Genomic DNA, 22935 nt, shown 5'->3' on the forward strand with positions numbered 1-22935 from the left:
CTGCCTGCCATCTGAAAGTGAGAAAGAATGTGATATTAATTGAGCATCTTCTGAGCAAGCTATATGCTGTACATATGCTTTTCTTCAAAACATCCCTTCAAGAAAATGGTAATTATCTCCATTTTATAGAAATGATCATTGAGACTCAGAGAGGTTAAATAATTTACTTAAGTAACACAGTTAGAAAATAGCACAGGGAGAACTGAGACCCAGGATTAATCAACTCTAAAATCCATGTTCTTTGTAATCTACATGTAGTCTGTCTTTCTATGACTGCTGTTGGTCTAGCCACCTCTTTTGTTTCTTTGTCTATACCAGCACCATTCAATCCTCTATTTCCTGACTGGTAGCTTTCCAGCGCCAGCAGCAACGGACACCATGGCAGGAAAGAATACCCTACCCAGGTAGAAGGTGACAAGTATAGAGAAAGCAGGGAGCTAAATGCTTTTCTGCTTCGCTGTTTTTATTTATTACCTGCTTTATTTCATCAAAGCTTTGAGATTGCCAATGTAAAATGTAAGATATCATAGGAAATTAATAAATGAATCTGGTATTGTTCTATAAGTGGAAATACAATTAACTAGGAATCAGGAAAGCTGAGATTTAATTTCTGTCCTGCTACAAATACACTATGACTGTGGGTAAGTCCTTTTCTCTCTCTAGGTTTCAGTTTTCCCATATGCAAATTGAAGTGATTGAACTTGATCAAATGTAATGCTCCCTCCAATTCTTTTACTCTACAGTTTTAATTCTACCCATATACTTCAGAGGCAAGTAAAGTGTGATAATAGTGTCCACTGTAGCTCACTTTGACACCTGATGAGGTCAAGTATTTTTCTCAAGTGATTCCCAGATAAGGAAGTGAATAGCAGCTCAGGACACATGTGTACAGATGTGCAATCTGACTTTTCATGTGCAGTTGTGATCAGTAGGTAATCAGTCTACTGGCTCACATAACACCTACGCAGGAAAGCATTCCAACCAATGCTTTCACTGAGTCAGCATTCAAACATCAAGAAGGTCAGAGAGTTACAGAACATACTTTAACATCTACCCCTTCATTAAAAAGGCCCACCCTGCCTTGCATGTCTTCTTGCCAGATGCCCTTAGCTTAGCTCTGAGGAGACTTAGAAGCAGCCTAATTAAAATTCTGTTATGTATTGTCATGACTAAAATACTCTCTATCTTAGAGATGTCAAAACAACAAAATTTGGTAAGCAATTAGGCTATAGTATGATCTAATTGCACTGGTACTTAGACTGGGGTGAAGATGGCTGGTGTTCTTTGTGTGGAAAGCTACAACCCAGGGCGGTAACTTAGACATCTGCTGGCAGGACACTGACAATTCATGCACAGAAGCTATGTTGAAACGATGGAGCAGAATAGCTCATAAGGTGCCATTACAGTCTATTGTCCCTACAATGTATATATTTAACAGATCCTAAATACCCCGTGACACATCGACACAGTCGACAATGACTCCACTGGTGCCGTGCTGGCCAATCAAGTCAATAATGTTTCATTTTAAAGTGCCAAAATAGGGATTTACCCAATACAGTGAGACCCATCATGAGTAAACGTGTAATCATATGGACACATATATGATTCTATAAGTACTGTAAAGACATAAGCATCCCTATGCCTGTTAGTAAGTGTTGGCCCACATTTATGATATATACAAAGACTGTCTTGTACACATCTAATATTACTAAATGTAACAAGCTACAGTGGACACTGATGTGCAGCACAGATCCCCCCCTGCTTCAGGACTGGAAGATTTATTCCCTCAGCTGCTGGAAATGCTGTTGGTAGCTAGCCCTTGGCTGTCGGCCCTCTTCAGCATTGCCTTAGCTGGAGAGAGTCACCTCACTCAAGGTCATGTCCTCTTCCCATGGCGTCACTTATCCAATGACTGGTTGATGCAGGGGTACAAAAGCTCACACTCTCACCCCAACTTAGGACAATTCTGAATGGCCATGGCAGCCTGGAAGCTTCCTATGAGGTTGCTAGAGACCCTAGTTGAGACTGCACCAGAGTACAACCTCTCCCTCTGCACAGTCCTGGGTTTTTTTAAAAAATTAAAACTTGTTTATTTTTTAGAGATGGGGTCTCACTATGCTGTACAGGCTTTTGTCTTCTCCCTTCCCTTAGCAATTCTAAAAGCACTCCCTAATAAACCTGCATGCTGATCTTCATCTCATGACCTGTTTCCCAGGAAACCCAAATCTGTGCCACATTCCTCTGCAAAGAGTGTCCAAATGAGGGAGAGAAGAGGTATGCTTAATAAATTATAAGGTTTTATGTCAGCAACACCACAAAAAATTACCTACAACTGTATTATGAGCTACAAAGAACAAATTCATAAATCTAATGGATAGATCTTATATTTAAGGAAACAGATTATTCCAACGTGAATAACTTTGAAGAGAGTTAAACTGAATTTGTCATAATTCATTTTCCAGTTTAATTGCACATTATACATTAATATTTACCCTCTTTGGCTCAGAAGAAAATCTGATGCTCAGAAGAAAAAGTAGTGCCCCATGGAACCCCATAAAATTAAGACTGATATTTTGATTATAAGAAAGCCAAAGCTACCATCACAGGAATCCATTAGTGCTGTCCTTCATTTATTCTTCTGACTTGAACTAATCTAGCAAGCAATCATAGATACTGATTCTAGATACTAAACAAAGCCTACAAGAATCACAAAATATATGTGCAAAACAGTAACATTATGCAGGAGAGAGACCATGTTAAGGAGAGCTCATGAACACAACATCCCTAGTAATGAACTTTTCCCATGCCCCAAATTCAACCCCAGTAAGGTTGTCTACTGAGAAAACAGCTCCCTTCAACTTGGAAACCAGGGTTTTCTGGTTCCATTGAAACAATTTTGCAGCTTACCTTCTGGGACTCAGTTATATTCAGTGTGATATGTTTTAGGTCAAGTTCAAATTTATCTATCTATCTATCTGTCTATCTGTCTATCTATCTATCTATCTATCTATCATCTATGTATCTATCTTAACCTCATCTCTCATCCCTCTCCCGTGTGTTCCAAAGCAAAATAAAGTTTTATCCTTTTAAACTTCAGACTTTTCCCTCCCAAATGAATTTAAAAAGTCAATGAGAAATACTTAAAATTAATCTGTAGAATTTGAAGTTAATAGTGTCTAAGTTTGAACTTCAACAGATAATACAAATTCAACAATATAGGGTACTATGGAGATAATTTTTGTGTCCCCTCAGAATCCCTTATCTTGAATCCCCAATCTGCAATGTGATGGTCACTGGAGGTGGGTCTTTGGGAGGTAATTAGGTTTAGATGAGGTTATGAGGGTAGAGCCCCCATGATCAGATTAGTACCCTTCTATCAGATAATCAGAATTTTTCACAGTCTACTAATAGCCTCTCAACCAGTCTCCCTGTTTCCATTCTTAACCTCCAATATAGTCCAATCTTCCACAGTAGGCAGAATGATCCTTTTATATGTAAATCAGATCATGTCAATGTCCTGGACAAAATCAGTCTAGGGATTCCCATCACACTCAGAATAAAATGAAAAGCCTTTCCAGGGTGTACCAGGTAATAATAAGCTCTGCCCAGCCTATCACTTTTACTTTATGATCCCCGGCTGTGTCGTCTCTTGTGCCATTCCTGCCACACTGGCCTCCTTGGTGCTGGTCTAATCCTCCAAGGGCCTGCATGTTCATCATTCCTAGTGCCTAGAATGCCCCTGCTCCTGCCTTTCATATGGCCTGGACTGTTGCTTCATTCAGATGTCAATGTCACTTCCTCAGAGAGTCCTTACCACTTCATCTAACATGCCAGCCCTATAACACCCTATTCCTTTAACTTGCTTCTATTTTTTCTCACGGCATTTATTGACTTCCTGCCATTACATTTTCTATTTAATTGTTTATTTCTTCATTGTCTGTGTTCTCCTATTAGAATATAAGCTCTAGGAAAGCAGGTGTCTTTGTCAGATTTGCTCACTGCTGTATCTCCAGCGCCTAGAACAGAGTCCATCATAGAATAAACAATAAATAATTTGCTGGATCAAAAACCAAATGAATGCAATTTGCAAATTGCTTTGTTTTGCTTCATTTTTTTGTCCTGGTTGACAGGAAGTTTAGTATTACATTTAATGGTGAGTCATGGTAACATATTAGTCTTCATTGTAAACACATATGTGTCTTCCTTTTTTAATATTCTGGTACTCTACTTTTATTCTAATAACATCATACATCTCCTTTATTTTAAGATACATCTATTTCAGAATGTGACAGAAAAACACCAATAGGCAGGTAGGTTGGGAGGCAACTTACACTGGGTGGGAAAGGGCGTATTTGTTAATCAACAATAATGCTTACAGATGCTACATGACAGATTTCAGTAAAGTACAAGACAGCCCTCAAGCTGGAAGCCCAAATCTATGGCTGCAGGTTGATACCTGGGAGCCTGGAAAGAACCAGATGAGAGTGAGCCAATAAGTCTAGCAGATCCAGTGACACAAGGAAGCAGTTTTACCTTTTCATTCCTGCAGCTGTTCAGCCCCATATTATTTATGGAGGACAGTTTCCCGTCAACACCATGTGGCTGTTGCTGCTGTTGCTCCCGCTGGATCTGCTCTCGCATCTTCCGCGCCTCCTGAATGGCTTTCATCACTGTATCCTGATCCCCAAAAAGGGCAGGGGAGTTGAGACTAGATAGGATATCTGCATACACAGGATGCATTATTAGATGCTTGTGAGGTCAGACTCCTAAAAAGTACTACTACTATCCCCTCCCCTGTAGAAAGCTGCATTCTCTGAACAAGGAAGGGGTGCACATTTGCTATTTTTTAAACTATACGCTAATATACATAGAACACAGAGCCAGGGCAACCAAGCTGTGCTGGGTTCTTTTAGCCCTTGGAGAAAACCCCAGCACTCCAGCCTACCTGGATTCTGTCTACTCACCTCCTCACAGACTACAGTTCCTAGACTCCAATTGTATACATATTGGGGGAAGGTATTTGCTCTGCCTGTATGTACAACTGGTGCACAATGTTGCCTCTTCTGTGGGGAAATTATGGGGAGGAAGGGGTTGAGGAGTGGGCAGGAGGCAGAGATGTTTGTCCAGGCTACCCATTATAGTTGCTGTGATAATACAACACAGTCATTTCTGGCCCGCAGAAAAAATAAAAAAATCTGTGAGGCCACATGTGTACTTTAGTGATATCTGTATCTGTGTGTTCATATGTCCACTGCAGGAAAGAGGGGGCGGAAGGAATTCACCGTACTCTCCAGTACCCCAGTTGCTGGCTGGTTAATGAAGCATTCTTCTCATCAAGCTGCCTCAGTTATTTACCAAGAGAATGACAACCCATTCCCCACCCCCAGCTCGAACACCCACTGTGATCAGCTCCCTCACTTCATGACAATGAGGCGATATGTGTGGGACTGGTTTTCGCATAACTACAAAGCTTCAAAAAAAAAGTGAGAATAAATATTTACTTCCAGTGTATTTCAAGCAACACAGAAGGAAAATCTTCAATATTAAACTGACTTATTTCCAACGATATCTTGCATTTTACTGTGGGTAAAATGAATACTTTGAATAAGATTTTCCAATTTTAGACAAAAAGAGGGCAATTTTTTGATGATAGGTTTCATCTGCTGTGACAAATGTTAGTGTGATCCACTTGCTTGAGGGCTCGTATAATCATTTCATAGCGTGTGTGTGTGTGTGTGTGTGTGTGTGTGTGTGTATGTGTGTGTATACACCTCACATAGGCAGGACAGAAGAAATGAGTGTAGAATCAAGCTCATACTGGATGTCTGATGTGTACAATGCATGTGCATATGCATTTGAGTTTGGAAAAAATTCCCAAGCTATACATGGAATTTTTTTTTTAAGTTAGTCACTTTTTGGTCCCACAGCTTTTATTTTGGAGCTTTTCTGGTAAAAAGGACATCTCTATCCAATATCACCTGGACGAGAGTGCTGTTCAAACACAGGTGCTATTACTTCAGCCCATTTCTAGCTCATGATCTAAGAAATATGCTCTGCTGAGTAGAGTTCCATAAAAGCAGGGCCTGTGACTCAGTCATCTCTGTCCCTCATGATACTCAGGACAGCAAACAAATGCTTTCCAAACAATTTCAGAGTGAATTCTAGGAGGGCTATTTCAAGGTCAACTCTATAATTTATCTCCTTGTTGGCTTTCTTCCCTCATCTCACAACTTCCAAAAATCCGGCCAAGGGGCATTCATATTCACATGCTGGAAATGATTTAATTCTATCTTCTATATGGATATCACTAACTTGGCATGAAAACTTTCAGGTCCCAAAAAGACATCCTTACTCAAAATGAGAATATGCTCCTGTAGAGATCCAATATTCCAAAATTCATTGAGGAAGATTAACATCTCACTATCAGAAGATTCACTTAGACTCAGCACAATTTAGCAAATATTCTAACTGTGAGTTTACAAAAAGAACACTTGAGTAACATGTGAGAGGACCTAGATTCTAGTCCTGTTTCTGCTAATTAACAGCTGCAGGAGTGTGGGCAACTCATTCTACCTGTAAAAACCACAATGTATGTATTTGTACAATAAGCATAATAATATACTATCTAACTCATAAGATTATTGTGAAACATCAAATCAGATAAAGTAGGCAAGAATGTTTTTTAAGCTGTTAATGGCTATTCTTATACATTATTTTATCTATTGAAATAAGCATTTTAGACTTCAGGACTCAATAATACAAGGAAGGTAATCTGAAGAAATGCTAGGTCTTGTCCCTTTAATCTTTAAATCTGTGTCTGTTTGGAAATTAAGTCTCTTAATTTCCAAAGAGTATAACAAATTAAGAGACTTAATTTCCAAACAAAGAGTATAGTAACAATAATGTTAATGCTTATTCGGCACTGTCTTACTGACAACTGCTTTCACATTTATTGTTTCATCCCACTTATATATGTACATGTATTGATAATCATTCATTCTAGTCATTTTAAATTGAATGCCTTCTAGGTTCTAAACTGCACTAGGCATTTAATATGCATTTTTCTGTTTTAATCCTCATAATAACCTATGAGCTAGTAATACTAGGAAACTGAACTTGAAAATATTAAATAACTTTCTTGGGGTCACATAGCTAGAAAATGAAGGCTCTCTGTCCAAGCCTGCCTCATTCCAAAACCCATGTTTTTTCCTCCATACTTTTCACATAGGGCTATGAATATTCCTAGAGATACTTGGCCATATATGGGGGAGTATAAGGAGCCAGACATTATGACATCTTTTCCTACATATCAATAGTATTTCATATATGTTCTTGAAGTGTGTCATTCACATTTGTTTTAATGCAAAAGTCATATGGGATAAGATGTAAAATTCACATACACTTTGATAGAAGATAAAAATTTCAAATAAATTTTGGTCTTTTGAAAGGTTGCTTTGAAGCCAGGTCCTATGTCCCTGAAAAATTATCTCAGTGTCAAAGCACTGACCATATATAGAAGTTCCTAAGTCTATGATTTGCTGGATCGAACTCATTATCATCTAAAGAATCCATCCCAGCAGGATTTATATTATGACCTTTTCCAAAAGTTCTAATAAAAGAAGATACTAAATTGGGTTATGTTTCAGTAGAAAAGATAAGAGTATTATCTTTTACTAAGGAGCACTTTGGAAACAAGTATCAGTCGTAACTAAACAGGTTTGCTTTCTTTTACCTAATTCGTAAGTCTCTTCCTGGTGTTGACTTTTCCATTTACCTAAAGAGGATCCTCTTCCCAGGCTTCCTCCAATGGGGCTAGGGATGCTGCTTTTGTTTGGCAGATTGACAGGGCTGGTTTTGCTGGCTGGGAAGAGGTTCTGGGTGGGAGACGTTGGGGACTTTACAGGCTCTGCTGTCTTGGGTCGGGATGAGAGATTCAGAGGCTGTGCTGCTGCTTCATCCTACAAGAGTTTAACGTAAATAATTATTTTTACAAAAGACAAATGAAGCACATTATCACTTAGTAAGCCACAGTTATTTTACACCTCAGAGACAATGCCACATTCTCCTACAATAATAACAAAAGAAGCTAATTATCTACCTCCTTGAAGATTCATCGGAAGGAAACCTCATTAATATCCCTGTGTTATGCTTCTATTTACATTAACTGTGTAGTTGGATCATTCTTTTTGCCAAATTAAAATCTGAATTAGCTCACATTACAGCTTAATTTCCTAATGTGTTTTCAGGGATCTAAATTAACCTAGGGCATTTACAAAGAATTATTTAAAATTTCAGCAGCTCTGTAGTGCTTTTGTGTTACTCTCTCTGAAAAGTTCTTGTAGCTATAAATAGTCTCTGCAGCTAATTTCTTAATATATATTTTAAATCAAACAATTGCAAGCACTTTAAAAATGGAAACATGGAAAGCCTTTTTCTGATGTACTAGGCCCCTGCCCAGGGAGCCACATGCCACAGCATGGCTTCTATGTGGCTTTCTGGGTGTGGGCACTCTTCATGGTCTATATTCTGGTCTCTATTCATGTTTAAAATTAATTTTTGCAAAGACCAAGGATAGATTATAATTATGTTACACATACTATGCTATATGCAATTTATTTTTCATGTTTAAAGTGATGTTTCTTTATATGCTTTTCTACATATATTTACAGAATGTCTATTTTAAGATACATGTCCTTCTTCACTGAGACAGTATTCAAATATCTGGCTTGTAACTGTAGTTCATCCAGGATCTTGAAAGCTAAGCTCCTTCCTTTATTTTGTCTCATTTATCCTGCCATAAAATACTTGAAATAACACTTTCATCATCCTAGAAATTTAGTTATAATATGACCATATTTATTTAAATGTTCAGTTTTAAGATCTGCATTATTGTGTTCTAAAATAAAATTGTCGGCAAATGTTAACTCCCACTTTGCTTTTAAGAAGGCAAAGAGAACTAGCTTTTAATGCCGTTGTTTAAAAGACCCAATAGAGTTTGGTAACAGAACATTTTCCCCCTTAGTAACCATGTGACCTTGCTGGGGCTCAATTTCTTCATCTGTGAAAAGAGGGTCTGATACTAGATGATCTCTAAGGTCTCTTCCAGTACTAATATCATTGATTAAGGGGGAACAGAAAGAGAGGCCAGAAAATACTACTTGAGAAGGAGGATTAGAAAGAGAAAATAAAAACAGCATGCGCAAAGAAGCAATTATATACCAAGCACATACTAAGCATTTTCATATACTAGTTCATTTAACCGTCAATGACTATGAGCCTGGCCAGTATTATTCTAAATTTACAAATAGGAAAATGGAGGTCAGAATGACAAAATCGCTTGTCTAAGGCCATATAACGGGGGAAAGAATTTAAATTCTAATTTATTGGACTCCAAATTTCAGGCCCCTTTTCTACTGAACTACCAGAGAAAATAAGTCTATTGTTTGATAATATAGTGATGCCACAGATTTTTTTGTGTGTGTTCATAGGGAAAAGGCAATTTGTCACATACGTTGCAATGTACGTTTATGTATATTTATACATAGGACAGGTTCTCAAGCAACATGGTTACATCCATTATGAATGTCAAAATTATCTTATGTAGTTAATTTCAATTTACTTCCCTTTGCTCTTTATTCAAAGGATGTTTGAACTAGTTTGTTCCTTTACTCACATCTAAATAATAGGGATTTATATGCTAGGTGTTTACTTAATTTTCTCCATGTTTCTTTTATTTGGGGCTCACTGAGCTTCTAAAAAATCTAAATTTAAAGTTTTGATCAAATTTGGAACATTTTCAGTAATTACTTCTTCAAATACAATTTTCTCTTTCTTCCTTTTCTTTCTGGGCCTCTAATTGCATACATTAGTCTATTCGATGTTGCCCCACAGTACTGACCAGTCTTTTTTCTATGCCTTTCATTTTGGATAGTTTTATTGTTATGTCTTCAAGTTCACTAATCTTTTCTTCTGAAATGTCTAAGCTGTTGCTAAACCCATCTAGTATATATATATTTTTAATCTCAAACACTGTATTGTTCATCTGTAGACATTTGATTTAGGTTTTTCATGTCTTGCTTTATCATGCTCACGTTTTCCTCTATCTTCTTGAACATATGGAGTTTATTACATCTTTTTTAACTTTGAAATACTCTAATTTTTTACTTAGTTTTATAATTCAGTAATTGCCACTTTAACCAATAATACCACTGGGCATGGCTATCACCTACCAACTCCCAATTAAGTGAATCCCTTTCCACCATGGCAGAACTCTTGGTCCTCACAGCCTGCCCTGGCCTGACAACTTTGTGCTAACCAAACCTGGTAGAAGGGGAAATAACAATAGCCCTAGGCCAGAATGTCACAGACCCCCACTATTCTTACATATAAGAGGCATAAATATTTTCTCAGATTGTATATAACTTTGGTCATTTTTAAGAATGCCAAAATGACTGTTTTTGTCAGTTTTGTCCAGCTTTATAGGTGATTTTTTAGGAAGGCAGATGCTTATCTCATTTGGCTCTAGTTGCAAGTCTCTTATAATAGTTGTTTTTACTTTCTTATCTACTAATTCTATCATCTGTGTCATTTTGGGGTCTATTTCTATTGATTGATTTTTCTCATTATTCATATATTTTGCTGCTTTGCAAGCCTGATATTTATTGAATGGATGCTACACATTGTAAATTTTACCTTCTGGAGTGACGAAGTTTCTGTATTTCTTTAAATATTTGAAAACTTTATTCTGAGACACAGAACAATTTGATCCTTTTCTAGACTTACTTCTAAGCATTTTTAGGCAAGGTCAGAACAGCCACTAAGTAGGGGTAATTTTTCCCCAGTACTGAGGTTATACCCTTCTGGGGAATCTACTTGATGCCCATGTGTCAGGAGGTCTTTCCACTCTGGCTATTTCTGGTCCTTTGTGAATCTTGCAGCTGTTTTGTTTGCTACATTCTGGTGTTTCCCCTTACCTCAGGTTGTTTCTCACATGCATGTGCTGATCAGTACTCAGCTAAATGCTCAGGGGCAGCCTTTTGCAGATCTTCAGCATTCGTTCTCCATGCAGCTTGCTCCTCTCTGGTACCCTGTCTCACAAATTCCATCTGCATTAGCATCCCTAAACTCTGAACTCTGTCTCTCTACTCAGGGAGCCTATGAAGCTTCCTGCATAGTTGCCTGGAAACTTCCTTCCAATAGTGAGCTGCAAAAATTGTAGTGCCTGCCTCACTTGTTTCTCTTCTCATAGGAATCACTGTCCTGTACTACTATTGTAAATGTCTGAAAACCATTGTTTTATACAATTTTGTCCTGAGTTTTAGTTGTTTAAGCTGGAAGAGTAAATCTGTTTTTGTTCCTTCATCATAGTTGACAATGGAAATCCTCTAGGTGTTTATTTAGGATCTCTCCCTGTGTACAACTAGATATTTCAATCACAACCACTAAAACCACCACACCATCTTCTTTATTATCATAATGACCAGCAGCAGCATCACTACCATCACTAACATTTATAGAATACTCACTATAATACTAGAGGGTGTATTTAAGACCTATAATAATATTAACTCCAGTTTTTTTCAGAGGAGAAAACTAAAGTAGAAAGACACTAAGTGGCTTGGCCAAGGTGATATAGCTAGTAAAAGTGGTAGAACCAGTATTTTAACAGAAACATTCTGACTTCTGATGTTGACAGTTATAGTAGACAAAAGTTTTAGGGGGAAAAGGTACATCAGATCATCTATATTTATTTTTGATACTTTCAGCAAATGTTGCCTATATTCTGTCTGAATTTAATATAAGTAGTCATGTTATATACAGAGAAAAAGCAATGACTATAAAGAGAAACGTGAGAGATTTTGGTAACCACAGTTCTTTAAATTAGCAAACTTTAAGATTATTTTCAGAACATCTTCAGTAATATGAATTATATTTTAAATTTAAAATGTTTGCTTTATGTTTTGGTCTATATATTTTTACCCATATATACAATAAAAAATCTAATAAGTAAAAGAAATATTTCCTTTGTTATTAACATAGAATATGGTCAAGTCAAATTACCCAGAGAGATCTCTAAGAATTTGCATGTGGTCAAGTGAGTAATAAAATTCAGCTGGCTCACAAAGATGGAATAGTAAAAGCAGATATAAACTTGAATTTAACCAAGGAACATTTTACTCATCCAGTAAAGACTTGGTTTGGTGCAGTTCCAGTTGGTCAACTTACTTATAAAATGACTTATTTATGTTAAAATATTTAATACTCAATAGCTCAAGTCACTGATGTTTGATATACTCATACTTTAACAACTACGAGTAAGCAAAGTGTCTTTGAGTTGGAGTGTTCTCTTATTCATAAACACAAACTCTGGGAACATAAAATAGTCTGTTTCCATAAGTGATTCTGTCTTATTAAATGTAAACTTCCTATTGTCATATCTCAATATTTCTAACAGCAGAACATAAATGTTCTCCTATTTCTTTGGAGAATCTAAAAGAATAGGTGGCATTAAATTAATTCCTTTGGCTGGAACATAGACTACTTCTCTTAGTGATTTTCACTTTTTTAGATCTTTGGTATTTGGGATGCACTTTTTTAAAAGACTTCCTGGAATCTCAAAATTCCCATATGCAAATTTTAGAAAACAAAACAATTTCAGTGATTATATAGCATCCAATGATTAATTTGGTTGGTCTCAGCTGTTTCCCTTGTGAAGATTTAATAATTGCAAAATTTCTCCAAATGCAGTACTTTAATCACATTACAATAAAGCATTTGTACTTAGCATACTCCTCCAAGTAGATAAGTCAATTATACAAAACAATTGTTCCTCTGTTTGAATTTGATAATTCAATATAGAAAGCAACTGCAATCATAAAACCAACAAGTACCACCTATAGGTACCAGCTGCAGCACAAAATTGCAGTGGCTCATCAATTTCCCTCTCACCAAGTACCTCCTGGCTGCCCAGTTTCAAGACGCTGAAAATTAGTGAGAGAAGACATCTATTAATGTCCCAGACATAACTTGGGAAAGCCTGTTTATCCTATCACAACTATATGGCATCAAAAGCGTTATTAGGCAATGACAACTCATTCCTTAAAGCCCACATTTTTTTTTCATGAATCAAAGAGCATTTATTAAGGATACAGTATGGATCAGGTATCATGTTAAGACTTTTCATATTTATGATTTTATTTATTTGTCCCATTGCCCTCATTGTAAGGACAGTCCTCTTTATTTTATTTTATTTATTTATTTTTTTAAGTATACTTTAAGTCCACATTTATAACTAGTTTTGAATGAGAGATCTTCATCAACGAACCATACAGAGTCCGACATCAAATTCTATTTTGCACTTCTTTTTAAATCTAATGTTTCAATATCCCAATTCTCTGGTCCTATAAGTTAACTCCCTGCCTGTTTAAGACACATGAAGAGAAATGCCACAAGTCCATGACAAAGACTGGCAATAAAGTCATGGCAATTCATGCCAATGATCATTAAAAAATAAAAGCCAGAATCCAAAGGGGGAAAACTCTCGAGAAGTGAGTTTGCAGATTGAGGTAAAGATCTCACAATACGGCACTATTGTTATCAAAACACCTGTTTCTCAATGCTCAATTATGAAATTTACCATAAAGAGGGACATTTTGGGGTTGCTTTATGTTGCTATGTTTCCTGCTGTTTATGCCCAACATAGCCTGCTTCACTATCTTTCTTGTGAAACTTTTTTCTAAACTGTTTCCACAATGCTGCAAGGCGAGTGTACCTTAACTTGAGTTACAGGGCTGGTCCCTCTCTTTTCATTTTTTATCCCAGTAGGTGAGACCGTCCCTGCTGTGTTTGGTGGCTGTGGAGTTGATGGCATCTTTGCTCCAGGTGACACCTGCATGCTGGCCAGCTGAGCGGCATAGAGCTGCTGCAAAACAGGGAAGACAAACATTGATCTCTTTAAATGCAGCTGAAATTGAGTTTCAAAAGAAAAAACTTACCATATTGTTAGATTTCTCAGACAGCCTTGTAATTTCTTTTTCACTATTTTTAAAAAAGGAAGCTAAGAGAAGGCAAATAATAAAACAGAAAGAAAAAGGACAGGTATGGGAGCCATAGTTCTGTTTCTGGTCCTTCTAGCAACAACTTTATGATCCTGGACAAAGGATTTGATCTCTTTAGAATTCAGGTTTTTTTTTTTAATTGTACAAAAAGGAATTCAACTAAGTAGCCTCTAAGATGCTTTTTAATGCCTAAAATCTTTATTAAAAGTTATTTAAATGTCTGGGATGTCCACTTGTTTAATATTAATATTCATGAATTAAGAAACTAACCTGAACATTTCTAAGGATTCTTGGAAGAACTGTATCATTCTTATTTAGCTCTGACTCTGCATCTCTGGGTATTCTGATCCTTCTGAATAATGAGTGCTGTTCCCAAGGCCACTAAGGCCTAGTGGCAGTCATTGTTTACCCAGGGTCTTATTTCTAGGCAGCGTATAACATAATCCTCAAGAGAATATGGCCAGATTGGTAGCAGTTTTGTTGTTTTTTAAGTCAAGCTTCTCTGAACCCAAACCAGGTAACAAAGTGCTTCCTTCATGCTTCCAAACAGATCACCACACTTCTCTCTTCAGGTCCTGCCTTTGCCTGGGATTCCACATTTATCTTCGTCATATTCTCATTGCTGTTTCAAGGCCTTTTCTGAAGTATTTTCTATAGTTCTCTTTGGCAAACCAATGATCTTATTACTCATTCTATTTACTCAGCTTAAAATGGTTCCTCTTCTCTGAGACATGATAAGCAGACAATCTGACATTACAAATCTTTAAATTATCAACCTCAAAATATGTTGATTTCACTAAATTAAAGCCAAAGATTGAAAGACAGGTGGGCTAACCTCTTTTCATATAATTTTCATTTTTATCAAAGTCATTCTTGTATACAGCTTTACAAGATAAATAGTACTTGAAGGTTTTAAAAAACAAAAAACCAAAACAACAACAACAAAAAGAGCATGACCAAAATGTACAGTGCACAGTCTCCACAGCTTGCAGGATGACCTTCATTTTCCTACCCTGGTCCTCCTTATCTCACCCCCTGTTCTGTGGAGACCATTCCCTTCAATTCATTTAATGGTTTAACTTGTATTTATATCCTTATTTGTAAATCATTCTAAATGTTATATCATTATCTACAGTATAAAGGAAAATGAAAGTTTCACTTTCCTACATTGAACCCCACATGTGCTCCCATGCTTCTCTCTCCAATCTCTTAATGTTAATGTCACAAATTTTAAAATTAGTGTTTACTGTTTTATATTATTTTATGAAGATAATAGCTATGTAGTAAACTATACTTAATTTTATTTCTCAACTTTTTATTTTGTTAGATTTAAGATTTGCCTCATATTTTGTTTTCATAATTTTTATGTAACTATCACTAATTCTCAAACTCTGCATGAAATCAGTAAAACTCTACCCAACGTAATTGAATATATCAGGTAATCTCTGAATCCTGGTTTCTCCCTTGGAGACATCCTTTCTGGAATTCTCAATCTTCTTGCTCCAAATCTGAACTAATTTATTCCTCAGGCCTACCTACTGCAGATCTATGGCACTTGTAATTCCTTTTGCCTCTCTTGTACTGGTGTCCTTGTTTCCCGAGTATCATGTTTTCTTCCCTTTTAGTTAACTGTCTCATTTTGGTACAAGAGCTTCCTGAGAAAGGTGAATGTGAGATTAATTATTTAGGAACTAATATTCTTCTCACTTAGTTGTAGTTTGACTGGTATAGAATTCTAAGTTGAAAATAATTCTGCCTCAGAATTCCAAAGATATTGATATGTTGCCTTCCTATTCTTGTTATTAAGGAAGCCTGACACTATTTTGCTTCCTGATACATACATTCCTTTGTATGTAATCTATTTCCTTCTCTAAAAGCATCAGGATCTTCCCTTTCCACTGAATGTTCTGAAATTTCACTATTATGTCCTTCTGTTGACTTTTACATTCATTGTTCAGTCTTTTCGATCCAAACTCATGTCTTTGTATTCTAGGAAACTTTTTTGATGTTTTTCATTGATAATTTTCTCTCCTCTGTATTCATATTTGATAAATATTAGATTTCCTTATTAACCCTCTATTTTTCTTATTTTTTCTTTTTATTTGCTAATCTTTGACATTTTGTTATACTCTATGACAGAGTTTTTGCAACTTCATCTTCCAAAACTTCTCTGAATGTTTTAAAGTTTCTACCATTATATTTTTAAAGATACTCTTATTCTCTGATTGCTTCTTTTTATAGCATCCTGTTCTCTATTCTGTTTGACAATATTAATTATAGATTTGGGTTTGTTTTTAATGTTTTCTGTTCTCTGCATTGTTACCACTCTTTTCTTCCAAGGTCTTTGAACTCTTTCATATTAGGGGCTTTTCTAAAGTGTCTGGTATTCATTGGCTGTTTGTTCATATATAACAGCAACGTTCTAAAAAGCTGACTGGAAGGTCTAAGTATGGGGTAGACTTATTGATTTATGGGCTTCAGCATAAGGTAATGATGCAGAAAGTCTGCTTTTTCATTGGGAAATCACAAATATCAATATCTACAGGTCATTTATCTTAGACTAGACCATTTTCTTGGAGAGATGTCTTCAAATTCTTGCCTTGATTTGTGTATAGACTTGTATGCCATCATTACATGAGCCAAGCAAGAGAAGGCAGGAGAAGAATCTCATAGTCTGGTCTATCCTGCAGATTTCCTGATTTTCACCATGGCACATCACTCATTCTCAGCTATGCCTGGTGTCCCAAGACATAAACCTCTCAAGTTCTACTTTTCAAGAGAATAAATCTCCAGTGACTTCTGTGAGGTTATGTGCTCATGGGGCTGGAAGGGAGGAGGCAGGGATGGTAGTTACCAGGTTGCATGACATTAGGGAGGGATCATCTTATGTCTATTTTCAACCAGTCATCCTGTCTACAGTTCCACCTTTTACAACTGTTCCTTTAATGATACATGATGCCTTCAATTCCTAAGCATTTTAGAGGTTCAGCTCCCAACTGGGCTTGATTCTTTTTGGCTTTACACTCCTAAAGCTTAGGTATCAGCTTTCTCTTTTTTACTAAGACAGTTATAACTCATCTATCCACTTCTCATATTCCAAATTTTTTGTCTTCTCTTTCCATTTCTACTTGAAGGTTTACACCTATAATCCTTAACCATCAATTTACTAGGATTTGGGTAAAACTGGCAATAAATGAAAATGTTAATCTGCTGTGGTTAACCAGAAGTCAGATACTCCAATCTTAACACTGTTTAATGCTTGAAAACTTCATTCAAATATTTTCTTTTCTTCTTATAATCAAAGTTAAGCCACTACCTTGATGGTCACATTTCTATCATAATAAATAGAAAGCTTCCTAGATCATCAACCACGGAGAAAATAGCTCAAACTTTGCCATATGAGTAGGGGAGAAAAAACAGGTGGTTTGAATGTAATTTCCAGCATTTCTATCATTCAGATGGACAAATAAAAAAAATTACAGTAATCAAAAACAGACCTTTCAGCACATGTAATTAAATGAAAGCTTAATAAAGAATAATTTGCAAGAGCCAGATGTGCTTATGTCATGATTGTTGCTTTCTTTGGAACAATTTTTCTAATATAACAAGCCTCTAAAGAAATTAAAGTTTCATAATTCTGTATGTAATGACTCAGTGGCAAGAAAAATTCACAAGCAGAGTCAGTCACAAGCAGAGTCAGTGCTTTGCTAGCACTTAGGCAAAATGAGGGGGGCATCTTTTTGGTTTCTCTTTTACTCTGTTGTATCATCTTCCTTTGAAATTCAGCCAGATGTCTTCAAAATGGGGACAGGTCAAGCTTCTGAAAATGTCTGCTTGGATTAAGGCAGTGAAAAAAAGTTCTATACTGAATGGAGTCAAGATGGTTACGAGATGAAACATGTTGACTATATAGTCCTGTAGCTGGTATCATAACCAATATATCCTACTATGAGTATTAAAGAGTCAGGAAATCTTAGAGATGCTAACAGTCCTTGGTTATCATTTATGCTTTTTACCTCAATCATTAAAAAGATCAAATAAATGTCAATTTTACTCAATCTTGAGTCCTTTGGGAAACTTGAACTAGTGAAAAATGCAGAAAAACATATTTTTGGAAATACATCTATTTTTTTTTAAAAAAGTTGACTATGAATCCTTCAAATTGAGTGAATAATACAATTACTTTTCAGGAAAAGAGTAGTGTTAATTGCTTCTTTTAAAGCTCTGATAATCATTTATTTTACAGCCCTTTGAAGTGGGTTGTACCTAAGGAAGGCAAGACCACATAAACTCTGAGATTCCATAGAGCTGGTTCTTGTGAGTTGTGATTACTGATACATTAGAGAAAGGAAGAGGTACAGCCACATTCCATAATCCTTTTCAAAGCTGAGTAAACTGGACAGTAGGATATCAGGTAAGATTTAGTAGAATGGGCCTTGAAATAGAAATCAGAAAATTGAGTCCAGTGAAAAGATAGAAGGTATTCACAAAAATTAAAATATCCATATTCTGTCTAACAAAACATATGATTTTAGTATAAATATCATTCTATTCAGATTGAAGATTTTAAGTTTGTCTTGGATAATATGAATGTCATTAAATGAATAGGTATAAGCTTACAAAATAATTTCGCAGCTCACCCTCTAAACTAACATCAGTTGAATTTGTTCCATGTGTAAGACTCTGTGTTAGGAGCTGAGGAGAATTCAAAGCACATAGCTCTAAAGGAGATATAAAATATAAATCCTTAACACTTGATCTGCACTTTTCTTGTGGTGTTTATCAGTATTTTAAACTTCATGTGTAATTATGCACATGTATCTTATCTTGCTTGATACACTGTAAGCTCACTGAAGATATGATCTAATTATTTTTGAATGCTTAGCACCAATAATGGTGCCTTGCAAATAACAGATACCCAATCAATAGTTTCTGATTTAACATACTATACAAAATCATTGCATATTAGGAAGGAAAGACAGCATCTATAAATGAGGCAACACAAGTGGTACATCATTATATTTATTATATATGTGACAAACAATTTTATGATATTAAGGTTAAAAAATAAAAGGCAAAAAAATTTAGTCAAGTTTAATCACACTGTTTCACAGGAAATTATTCTTTTGAAGTAGTTTGCTAAAATTTTGACTAGACAGCTGCTCAGTAACTGTTAGCTTCACTGAACAGTAGTAGCATTTCTAGACACCTAAAAAAATCTAGCTGAAAACCAAAGAAAGAAGGCAATCCCAGTTACAATAGCTACAAAAAAAAAAAAACAGGAATATATTTAAACAAAGAGGTGAAAAATCTGTACAAGGAAAACTATAGAACACTGATGAAAAAAATTGTAGATGACATAAACAAATGGAAAAACATCCAATGGTCATGGATTAGAAGAACCGGTATTGTTAAAATGACCATACTGCCCCCAAAGAATTTAGAGATTCAATTCAATCTCTATAAAAATACCAATGTCATTTTTAATCAAATTAGAAAAAACAATCCTAAAATTCATATGCAACCAAAAAAGAGCCCCAAGAGTCAAGGCAATCCTAAGCAAAAAGAACAAAGCTGGAGGCATCATATTACCTGACTTCAAATTACACTACAAACCTATAGTAATCAAAACAGTATGGTACTTGTGTAAAAATAGACACGTAGATCAATGGAACAGAATAGAGAACTCAGAAATAAAGCCACATACCTAGAGCCAGCTGATCTTTGACAAAATTGATAAGAACATGTATTGGCAAAAGGACATTCTTTTCAATAAATGGTGCTGGGAAAATTGGATTGCATATGCAGGAGAATGAGACTGAATGCCTATCTCTCCCCATATACAAAAATCAACTCAAGATGGATTAAAGACATAAATGTAAGACTGAAACTATTAAAATACCAGAAGAAGACTTAAGAAAACTCTTCTGGGCATTGGTTTAGGCAAAGAATTCATAACTAAAACCTCAAACACAAAAGAAACAAAAACAAAAATAGACAAATGAGACTACGTTAAACTAAAAAGCTTCTGCACAGCAAAATAATCAATCAACAGAATGAACAGACAATCTGCAGAAGGGGAGAATACTTTTGCAAATGGCCTTAAAATTTTCTAATACAAATTATACTGTTTGAGCCATAACTAATGAGTAGTAACATTTTTTCTTCTCAGTCTAGTTATTAACACAGATAGTCTAGTTAATAACAGTGTAGTTATTAACAGTCTAGTTAATAACAAAAAAAAACTATTTATTCTAACCAAATAGCTTTAGTTAGAAAATTTCTTTGCAGACTAATGGTTTAGGAACAGAAAAGGTTAAATTCTGATTAACTATTACATAAGGGTCTACAAAAATGTCATTCCACATATAATTCTCAGATCATAGTTCACAGTCATAATGATTATAATAATGAATATTCATTTCTAAACATAGTTGAGGTTTAAAAATCAACAATATAGTAAAGCTTATGACAGGCTTAGCCAAAGTCCCATAAACATTTAAACTTAGGTGAAGACTGTTTCAGCCTAAATATAGAATGTTTTTCCTGTTTCAATTTTGAAAAATTCACACTGATTGTTTGGGATATTGAATTGTTTCTTTATCCAAGATATATAAAAGACCAGCAGTGTATATGTGTAAAAATAAGCCTAGCTAAATATTTTTTCAAAATTATAAAATTACTTATTTTATAAAAGCACTTTAAGAAATGATTTTACTTTATGGCTTAAAATGTTCCACCTTTAATACTGGCAGCTTTAATAAAGTAGCTAGCATTAAAATCTTGGTAAGCTCAACAATGAGATATTTGACACATAGAACTGAAAGGACATTATCAAATCATTTAGGTTAGTCTGACTTCCTTATTCTGCCAACGAGCTAAGATCTAGCAAGTAGCTTGCCCAAGATCATATAATTAGTATTGAAGTTAGAAGAAGAACTCTCTAGCTATCACTTCAACATTACCAGAATATCTATCACTTAAAAGTAGAAATGGATATAAAATTAGACAAGTTTTGCACCTTTCAAGCACATATCCAGCATCGATAAATTTGACCAATCTCTTAAATAAATTGAATTAAGAAAGTCCTGTGAAGATCTCACCAATCCACAAATAAATACTTCTAACAGTATTTGCACTGCTTTGTGTGCTGTGGCTAGCTTTAAAGATAAATCTGTCTTCCATTTGGATGTTAGTGACACTTTAATAACCAAGCCTGTTTAGATTTAACCCAAAGCAGTAGGTCCTACCAATCAGACTCAGCCTCATGGTGAAACCCTTCAGTGCCTTCCAGTACACATAATGGTCTATAGCAGGACCTAAGAAATGTATTGTGTCAGTAATTGATGTTATACCATGACTGTATTTGAAAAGAGAAGCATGCTTTGTCCAAATATAGCCAAACTGATGTCAAATTATAATGGGTGGTGTCACGATGTAACTATATTTACCATAATTTTATATATATATATATATATATATATATATATATATATATATATATATATATATATATACCTGCTTTCTATGATACAATCATTTAGGATCTCTAATGGAGTGTGCCAAACAGAAAAAGTACAAGGCCTTTTCTCATTATAAACATATGATTTTCATGTAGCAACATAACCAGTCATCTAGTTTTCCAATAATCACCCCAATTCATTAATGCATTAATTCAACAAATATACATTGAGAACTAAACTCAGTGAGGCACTGGGCTGGATATTTTACATTTATTATTTCATTTAATCTTCACAATTATTATATAAGATAGAAATTATTATCCATTTTAGTCAATCTTACTTTTAAGCCTGTATTCTTTCTGCTTTTAAAATTAAATTATTTTAAATAAGCTACACAGTGAACCACAATGAAACCAATTTCTTGTTCCTAGTCATCAGAAAAGGATCACTGTCCAAGGAGAAGAAAGATTATGATGTGACTGCTATTCTGAGCTCTCAAACAGAAAATTGTATTTTCAAATGTCTTACAGTTACTCTCTAAAATGGCATTTCACAATCTTCAAATGGACAAGAAAGAGGTAACAGCACCACCAGTCACCTTGAAGGAATAAGTGTCACAATCAGATCTAGAAAATGTCCTTCTCCAAATCTTCAAGCCATGGTAGAAAACCCCTAAAAAATTAACCCCACATTAATAGACTGATAAGATAAAAAGAAGAACTATGCAAAGTATAAGTAGACAGAGCTTGATAAAATGGGAATTGAGGGGGGCTTTAAATTGGGACCAGTATGCTCCAGTATACAAAAACTAACAGTAAAAAAGAAGGCACAACCTTACACACCAAATTCTTTTAGGAATAGATTCTTCTGTGCTCTGTCATTTCAATTTATTAATTTATTAAGTAGCCTACCAGAATCCACCCCGGAAAGAAAGAAATAAAAATCATCTCTCAGAATACTTCCATACTCATTCTACAAGGCCAGTACTACTTTGATACCAAAACCAGACAAAGCCATACATATATATATATATATGAAGCCATATATATATATGAAGCCATATATATATATGAAGCCATATTACCTCTGATGAATATTGATGCAAAAATCCTCAACAAAATACTAGTAAACCAAGTCTGACAATACATTAAAAAATATCATTCATCATGACCAAGTGGGATTTATCCCTGGGATGCAAGGATGGCGCAACATATACAAATCAATCAATGTGATACATCATATCAACAGAATGAAGAACAAAAATCATATGATCATTTCAACTGATGCTGAAAAAGCATTGATAAAATTCAACATCCCTTCCTGATTTAAAAACCCTAAAAAAACTGGGGATAGAAGGAATATGCCTCAATATAATAAAAGCCGTATATGACAGACACACAGCAAATACCATACTC

The 22935-nt window shown here is 35.3% G+C and overlaps 1 protein-coding gene and 1 long non-coding RNA gene across 7 annotated transcripts in view; one reads left to right on the plus strand and one right to left on the minus strand.

Annotated features, from left to right (window-relative positions):
- The window catches only part of SOX6 (SRY-box transcription factor 6), a 772029-nt gene that overhangs the window by 75532 nt on the left and 673562 nt on the right, over positions 1-22935 (minus strand). For 4 of the 6 annotated variants that reach the window (NM_001367872.1, NM_033326.3, NM_001145819.2 and 1 more), the window contains 3 exons: positions 13772-13921; positions 7775-7958; positions 4534-4721 (listed from right to left, as the gene is read on the minus strand). In NM_001367872.1, the coding sequence (NP_001354801.1) occupies positions 4534-4721; positions 7775-7958; positions 13772-13921 (522 nt within the window). Of the gene's footprint in view, positions 1-4533; positions 4722-7732; positions 7959-13771; positions 13922-22935 lie in introns of all 6 variants that reach the window. The other 2 variants (NM_001145811.2, NM_017508.3) reach the window with 1 other exon arrangement.
- Positions 11-5342, plus strand: LOC124900593 (uncharacterized). Its single transcript, XR_001748474.2, has 3 exons — positions 11-108; positions 4268-4310; positions 5258-5342. It is a non-coding gene; the product is annotated as an uncharacterized LOC124900593 (long non-coding RNA).

Source organism: Homo sapiens, chromosome 11 (assembly GCF_000001405.40).
Source record: "Homo sapiens chromosome 11, GRCh38.p14 Primary Assembly".
In the NCBI taxonomy this organism is placed as follows: domain Eukaryota; kingdom Metazoa; phylum Chordata; class Mammalia; order Primates; family Hominidae; genus Homo; species Homo sapiens.